This window comes from Homo sapiens, chromosome 6, assembly GCF_000001405.40.
Source record: "Homo sapiens chromosome 6, GRCh38.p14 Primary Assembly".
In the NCBI taxonomy this organism is placed as follows: Eukaryota; Metazoa; Chordata; class Mammalia; order Primates; family Hominidae; genus Homo; species Homo sapiens.
The window spans coordinates 32,739,424-32,747,516 of NC_000006.12; the positions used below are offsets into that span (position 1 = coordinate 32,739,424).

At 42.7% G+C, this 8,093-nt stretch overlaps 1 protein-coding gene across 1 annotated transcript; it reads left to right on the forward strand.

Moving 5' to 3' along the window:
- Positions 1-1,967: 1,967 nt before the first annotated feature.
- HLA-DQA2 (major histocompatibility complex, class II, DQ alpha 2) lies at positions 1,968-7,775 on the forward strand. Its single transcript, NM_020056.5, has 5 exons — positions 1,968-2,102; positions 5,736-5,984; positions 6,368-6,649; positions 6,817-6,991; positions 7,159-7,775. The coding sequence occupies exons 1-4, from the start codon at positions 2,021-2,023 to the stop codon at positions 6,969-6,971; spliced, it is 768 nt and encodes a 255-aa protein (NP_064440.1). The 5' UTR covers positions 1,968-2,020; the 3' UTR covers positions 6,972-6,991; positions 7,159-7,775.
- Positions 7,776-8,093: the final 318 nt, after the last annotated feature.

Genomic DNA, 8,093 nt, shown 5'->3' on the forward strand with positions numbered 1-8,093 from the left:
GTGAATAACTGGGGACCACAGTCCAGTCAACACATAAAATTGACCATTAATCAATTGTAAGATTTGTGCTTGTGTTAGGTAATTTTGAGGAGGAGTTAAGAAAGAGGGACTTCATTTTTAACTGGATTCTGACAGAAAGCAGGGAGTGGGGATGGCAATGCTATGATTGGGTAGCTTCATAAATACTACCTAGAGGGACGGAAGACTATCCTGAGGCTACGGCTGTGATTGGTAAAGAAGCAGCAATCACTCTTTCGAGAGATGTGCCTGGTTATTTTTGTAGTTTGGACAATATTCATGTTTTGTCTGGGTGCAGACGTGATGACTGAGTGGCCTTATTTTCTGTCTCAATCCATCGCACTCACAGAGTACCTGTCTGATTCTGATGTTCTATGAAATTGATTATCTTCAACAGGAGAATCAAAACCAGCTGTGCACACCAGGCTAGCTCCTAGCAACCCCAAGGCCTTGTTAATTGCATCCAGGCAGCCCCCAGGTATCAGGACACTTTTTATTTTACCTTTTTTTAGTCTCTGCCATTGGGAGGCAAGACAACATGCTGAGAATCTCAGAAGGCCATTCAACAAGGACAGAGTGATTCTAAATGAAACCTCCATTACTAACTTGTTGTTTCTATAACATACAGAAAATAGATTCATCTGAAAAAAGGTAAGTTTCCCTGTGATTACTACATTTTAGCTCATTCCCTAGTCCCTTGCAATATCTGAAATCTTAATGTGGTTGGATAACAAATATGAAAAGATCCAGTAGTTTAAGAAAAGTAAACCTATTTTCTAAGTTAAAGCAATTCTCCTTATTCTACTCTCAATATTTGACTTGACATTCTTAAATTAAAAAAAAAAAATTACTGGCCGGGCGCGGTGGCTCACATCTGTAATCTCAGGACTTTGGGAGGCTGAGGCAGGCAGATCACGAGGTCAGGAGATCGAGACCATCCTGGCTCACACGGTGAAACCCCATCTCTACTAAAAATACAAAAAATTAGCTGGGCGCGGTGGCGGGCGCCTGTAGTCCCAGCTACTCGGGAGGCTGGGGCAGGAGAATGGCGTGAACCCAGGAGGCAGAGCTTGCAGTGAGCCGAGATAGCACCACTGCAGTCCGGCCTGGGCCAAAGAGTGAGACTCCGTCTTAAAATAAATAAATAAATAAAATAAAATAAAATAAATTATTAGAGTAATTGAGCCAGCCAAAGCTTTTTTAATGTAATCAATGTCCCTAAATTTCCTTTAAATATATTCAAGCAGCTCCGAAACACAGAGCATAAAGATTACTAGAAGCAAAACAAAAAACTGTGTAAAAGATCGGTTACTGTAGGCAGCACCGCATGACAGTCTAACCCCTTTAATTGCCCTGGTCAAAAACACCTGGAGCTTTTGAGAACTTACCCAACTGGATTTATACAAGTAGAAAAGGCAAAGGTATTGCTTGGCTACCACCAGCAGAGATCCCTAGGAAGGTGGGGTCAAGTCAAAATTTGGGGAATACCATATACACTATGGAAGCAAAAAGAAAAATAGCTAACCCACATACAGAAGCCAGAGAAAGGGGAGGGAATGGGGACTGCCAGGGAGGAAAATCACTTCAGGGAAGAATTCCTGGAGAATGTAACCCAGAAAACCCTGAAGGATGCCATATTATTGATGACCTTACCTATCCAAGCGGCTGCTCAGAAATTCCCGCCCCTCTTGACACTAGCAGACATGCACACATGACAGAAGATTCAGATTTAGTATCTTCCCTTTATTTATAGAAAATTTCCTCAAGACCATGCTGTGTGGAGGATGTGTCAGAACCAGAGGATGTCCCTGTCTTCTTCCAGGGCTCTTAATATAAACTCTGCAACTGGCAAACAATATGTCACCATAGGGGATTTTTCTGATTGGCCAAAACCTGACCTGGCAGGGTTTGGTTTGGGTGTCTTCAGATTTGCTTGTCTCGAGGTCCTCACAATTGCTCTACAGCTCAGAGCAGCAACTGCTGAGGCTGCCTTGGGAAGAAGATGATCCTAAACAAAGCTCTGCTGCTGGGGGCCCTCGCCCTGACTGCCGTGATGAGCCCCTGTGGAGGTGAAGACATTGTGGGTGAGTACATGAGTGAGGAATGTTCTCTGGAGCTGAAAAACAGTAAATTAAAGGAAAAGAGAGAGTGTAATTTGCTAAGAAATAGTAGAAATTTCCCAAGGGTCTTTTCAATATTAAGAAATTTTAAAATTATGGCAGTTCCTCCTTTAGGAAACCAGAGCTCCAACCGACTCTCTTTGCTACCTGTGCTATTGGAGTTTACCAAGGACGTTGTTCTGTTTATATTATATCCAGAGACTATAGCCTGGAGGTCTGTGTGGCATTCCATCATGATTGCCTCAAAGACTAGGGATGTTTCCATGAATGGAGTATTTTTTTGTTATTAAAAATTTCTGAACTGTTACTCCCAAATTTCTCTGAACAACTTTTGAAGCTTTTCATATGCCTCCTATAGCATATGTTGGGGTAGATAGTTCCATGAAGTATGTACACTCTATAGATATAAAGAAAGAGGTTCTTTTCTTTCTCTCAGACTTACATTTCCACATGGGAATTGGCACAGGTGGGGAGTAGGTGAAAGAGCCCAGCAGGCTGAATGCCTTCAACAATCATTTTACCACGTGGTAAATGTGGTACTTACTCTCTGCTACCTCATATATGTCACCTCGCTTATGATCAAATAAAATGGGCATGTAGATATGCTTTATGAATAGTAAAAACATGAATGTCAACTTTTTTTAACTTATTCCTATTACAGGTATAACTTCGTATTTTTTCTTTAGCAAAGTAAGGAATATATTTTAAAACTGAGAACTTTATGATAAAATGCTTGGTAAATTAAATTATTTTATTCTCAAATTGTCAACCCAAATTACTAGTTCTTCACCTTATCTAATGAAGTCTTATAAAGAGAAAAATGGGCAGGCACAGATAATTATTTGGTCCCTTAGTCCCCTCTGCCTTTGTCGTCCATCTCTTCCCACCTCTCTTCATGCATCCCTTTCTCCCTCTTCCCTTTCAGGATCCATCTCTGACTCCCTGCTCCTTTACAGACATGGGCAGTGGGTTTGTAAAACAAAAGTTGGAAAGTCAAATAGTTAAAAGGGGAAGTGAACTGGAAGCTACTCTAAACTTTCACAACCTTATTAACCATGGCTGCTCCCATTCTGATTTTGTTTGGCAGTGGAAGTTTCACCTGCTTCTCCAGAGCACTTGGCTTTTTTGTTTCAAATTTCCTTTCTTCAACCTCACACCAGAGTGCCCCGGTCAGGCTCGACTTATCCATTAGGAACAGTGTGGGCAGTGAAGGGGACCCTCCAAACTGTAAAGCTACAAGAGAACGTTTTAACTCCTTTTAAAATTAGAAGAAAAATGAAGTTTTACAGTCTATGAAAATGTTTTAACTTTTTTTTTTTTTTTTGACGGAGTCTCGCTCTGTCGCCCAGGCTGGAGTGCAGTGGCACGATCTCGGCTCACTGCAAGCTCCGCCTCCCAGGTTCACGCCATTCTCCTGCCTCAGCCTCCCGAGTAGCTGGGACTACAGGCGCCCGCCACTGTGCACGGCTAATTTTTTGTATTTTTAGTAGAGACGGGGTTTCACCGTGTTAGCCAGGATGGTCTCGATCTCCTGACCTCATGATCCGCCCGTCTCAACCTCCCAAAGTGCTGGGATTACAGGCGTGATCCACCGCGCCCGGCCTTAACTTTTAATGTAGCCTGGATTGTATTTGTCTTTATACCAATACAATCAGAAGCTGTAATTTTCCGTATTTTTATGGAGGAAGGCGCCCACAAAAGCAACAGTGCTCGGGGCTCACAAGTCAGAATTCAGCCCTGGGCATCCCTGATCCTGGGCTTTGCGTGGTTCTGCTACCTGGGTGCCTGTCAGTCTTCCCCAAAATCTATGTAATTGTCAAAAATTGCAATTGTCATTCAATACACATGTTTGAGCACACAATGAGCTAACTTTTGGGAATTCAAAGATAAAAAATCATGCTGTCTGCCTTGCAGAGGGTGCACAAACCAGTGATGGAAACAGTATGGGGCACAGGAAAGCAGAAGGCCCTGCTGAGCAGGACACTGGCCCAGCAGAGGCTGAAACTATAAAAATGACTTGGTTCCAGCTGGGCCAGTAGAGTGATGTCCTCCAGCAACACTTAGCACCCAGGACAAGTACCAGATGAAAAGAAGGATTGCATGTATTCCACATATATTCATGTTTGAACAAGGAGTCAAAGTTTATTGTAAGGATAAGGAGTCTTTGTTGGTGGCCTGTTAAGTAACCAACCAGGGCAGTCATGCTGGGTAGGGAAGAAGGTGAGCTGGAGGAGGAAAAGACAAACTTGGAGAGCCAGACATTGAGATTCCATTGAGGCGTTGGAGGTCACAACGCGGTCAAAAACATGTTGAGAGGACTTAGCTGCAAAGTTGTTAACTAAGTAGAAACCTCAAGGATGAATTTTAGGATTTCTCCAGGAAATCCTAAAAGATAACTTCTTTCAGGGAGAAAAAACAGACCCTTGCAAAGACATGAAAGGAAATGTAGTTTGGTTTGATTGGCAGATAGTTGTGAAGAATGTCGGACTGTAAGGCTGTCGATATCCTCCTCACAGAATTCCCCAAAGTACATTGTATTTGCTCCCTTACCGACCTGATTCTCCCACTATTCAGTTCATTCCTTGATGCTGTTTTAAGCAACCCCTGCTCTGTCTGACACTTTTGGATGCTCAGTAAATGAGGAAGGAAGGAAGGAAAGATAAAATGGTAAAGGGCTCACACATGTCTTAACAAAAATGTCCAGTTCGGCTCATTTGGCTATACTTCATGGCTGCTGCTCTGCCCTGGCATCCTCGGATAAGCTCGCTGCCCATTAGAGGAAAAAGGGTTTAATTTACCTGAGTCCTCGAGTGAATGTAATTGTTGAATCAGAACACTATAGATATTTAGTAACCTCCTTCAGAGGAAAAAAAAAAGTGGGGGCAATGACAGAAATTAAAAAACCAGTTGAGCTTCCACTTTTCATTTCAGAAGAAATCAGGTGCTCTCCTCTAAGGACCACTACTATTAACAAAACAGAGACCTTAGAAGAATTGTTTATTTGTTATAAATGTATAATGTTGCTATTCTTGTAATAGTCTTTCTTGTACCCTATAATTGTTAGAAGAAATTATTTTAAGTTAATACGTTCCTACATGCTTTTCTTTGGTTTAAAAAAAAAAAAAAAGGAAACTCTGTGTAGAAAGTGTCCTGTTCTGATCTAGTCCTGACAGGAAACGAAGTATAATCAACTTGTTATTAACTGAGAGAGAAAACTTAGGAAGCAGAGGGAAATAAACTGAATCTCTGAGTAAGAAAACTAAATCCTATGATAACTCATTCATTCCTTCCTTTGTTTATTGCAATATTCATCATAAGCTTATGATGCGCCAGGCACTAAGTAGGCACTCAGGAAATAACAGACGTGTGACGTTCTGCCTTTGTGGAGCATATGTTATAGTGAGAAAGACAGAATCAGTTCTAACCTGATGACTACCAACGTTAGGCAAGGAGGAAGCAGGTGTTAGGAAGATTGTTCAGGGACTGTGCCAAAGATGAAGCCCATAATATTTGAAAGTGAGTTTCTTCAATCACTTTCTGTATTAAGGTTCTTTCTCCCTGTGTTCCACCCTCCTGCTTGTCACCTTCACTCGTCAGCTGACCATGTTGCCTCCTATGGTGTGAACTTCTACCAGTCTCACGGTCCCTCTGGCCAGTACACCCATGAATTTGATGGAGACGAGGAGTTCTATGTGGACCTGGAGACGAAAGAGACTGTCTGGCAGTTGCCTATGTTTAGCAAATTTATAAGTTTTGACCCGCAGAGTGCACTGAGAAATATGGCTGTGGGAAAACACACCTTGGAATTCATGATGAGACAGTCCAACTCTACCGCTGCCACCAATGGTACGTGTCCACCATTCCGCCTCTCTTTACTGAAACTAATCTTTCATACCAAGTTTTACTCCCTTCTTCTCAAGAGATTTCCAGATCTTCTCATGGTAATTGCTGAAATTTTATCATCTCCCATCTCTAAAATCACATATTCCCATGTAATACAAGGGTCTTTCCATTATGTATTAATTCCTACTTTATTAAACATGCCCACAGAGAGAAGGGCACAGGAATAAAGCAGAGGCAATGTGTCGTTGCTCCCAAGCAGAAGGTAAATAAGACCTCTTTGACTATCAGGTGGTGAAATGCTGGTAGGAGGGCTCTTCCAGGATGTAATGCAGAAGCTCATGGCAGAGCTATTCACACTTCACATCAGTGCTGTTTCCTCACCACAGAGGTTCCTGAGGTCACAGTGTTTTCCAAGTTTCCTGTGACGCTGGGTCAGCCCAACACCCTCATCTGTCTTGTGGACAACATCTTTCCTCCTGTGGTCAACATCACCTGGCTGAGCAATGGGCACTCAGTCACAGAAGGTGTTTCTGAGACCAGCTTCCTCTCCAAGAGTGATCATTCCTTCTTCAAGATCAGTTACCTCACCTTCCTCCCTTCTGCTGATGAGATTTATGACTGCAAGGTGGAGCACTGGGGCCTGGACGAGCCTCTTCTGAAACACTGGGGTAAGGATGAGTTCCACCACTTCATGGGTTTCTAATAATAGACTTCACTCTTCTCCCTAAGCCTGGGGCCTTGAGTCTTGCAGAGCCAGCCCTCCACCCCATCCCATCCCACACACATGCACATGAGCACACTGCACATTCTGACCTCAACAGCTCCACTTTCACAGAGCCTGAGATTCCAGCCCCTATGTCAGAGCTCACAGAGACTTTGGTCTGCGCCCTGGGGTTGTCTGTGGGCCTCATGGGCATTGTGGTGGGCACTGTCTTCATCATCCAAGGCCTGCGTTCAGTTGGTGCTTCCAGACACCAAGGGCTCTTATGAATCCCATCCTGAAAAGGAAGGTAAGATTGAGATTTGTTGGAGCTGAAACCTCAGTATGAGAGGGAGGAAAGTGGGAGGGGGTTGTGGACATGAATGTGGTTGAAAGTTGTAGGCGAATTGGGAAGTGGCATGATGATCACACAGGAGGCCCCTCAGACCCATCGATCTCATGTCTGTCCTGTTGCAGGTGCATCACCATCTACAGGAGAAGAAGAATGGACTTGCTAAATGACCTAGCACTATTCTCTGGCCTGATTTATCATATCCCTTTTCTCCTCCAAATGTTTCTTCTCTCACCTCTTCTCTGGGACTTAAGGTGCTATATTCCCTCAGAGCTCACAAATGCCTTTCAATTCTTTCCCTGACCTCCTTTCCTGAATTTTTTTATTTTCTCAAATGTTACCTACTAAGGGATGCCTGGGTAAGCCACTCAGCTACCTAATTCCTCAATGACCTTTATCTAAAATCTCCATGGAAGCAATAAATTCCCTTTTGATGCCTCTATTGAATTTTTCCCATCTTTCATCTCAGGGCTGACTGAGAGCATAACTTAGAATGGGCGACTCTTATGTTTTAGGCCAATTTCATATCATTCCCCAGATCATATTTCAAGTCCAGTAACACAGGAGCAACCAAGTACAGTGTATCCTGATAATTTGTTGATTTCTTAACTGGTGTTAATATTTCTTTCTTCCTTTTGTTCCTACCCTTGGCCACTGCCAGCCACCCCTCAATTCAGGTACCAACGAACCCTCTGCCCTTGGCTCAGAATGGTTATAGCAGAAATACAAAAAAAAAAAAAAAGTCTGTACTAATTTCAATATGGCTCTTAAAAGGAATGACAGAGAAATAGGATACAAGAATTTTGAATCTCAAAAGTTATCAAAAGTAAAAAATTTTGTTACCAAAAGTCAAACTGCATTCTCAAAACTTTAAATTTGTGAAGAATGACAACAGTAGAAGCTTTCCTCTCCCCTTCTCACCTTGAGGAGATAAAAATTCTCTAGGCAGGAAAAGAAATGGAAGCCAGTTAGAAAAACATTGAAATAAGGCCAGGCACGGTGGCTCACACCTATAATCCCAACACTTTGGGAGGCCAAAGTGGGCAGATCACTTGTGGTC

Excerpts from the sequence above, each read along its gene's own strand:
- HLA-DQA2 (NM_020056.5), top strand. The coding sequence starts at position 2,021 with ATGATCCTAAACAAAGCTCTGCTGCTGGGGGCCCTCGCCCTGACTGCC. Across the intron at positions 2,103-5,735 it reads TGGAGGTGAAGACATTGTGG|CTGACCATGTTGCCTCCTAT; the intron begins GTGAGTACATGA and ends TTCACTCGTCAG. Across the intron at positions 5,985-6,367 it reads CTCTACCGCTGCCACCAATG|AGGTTCCTGAGGTCACAGTG; the intron begins GTACGTGTCCAC and ends TCCTCACCACAG.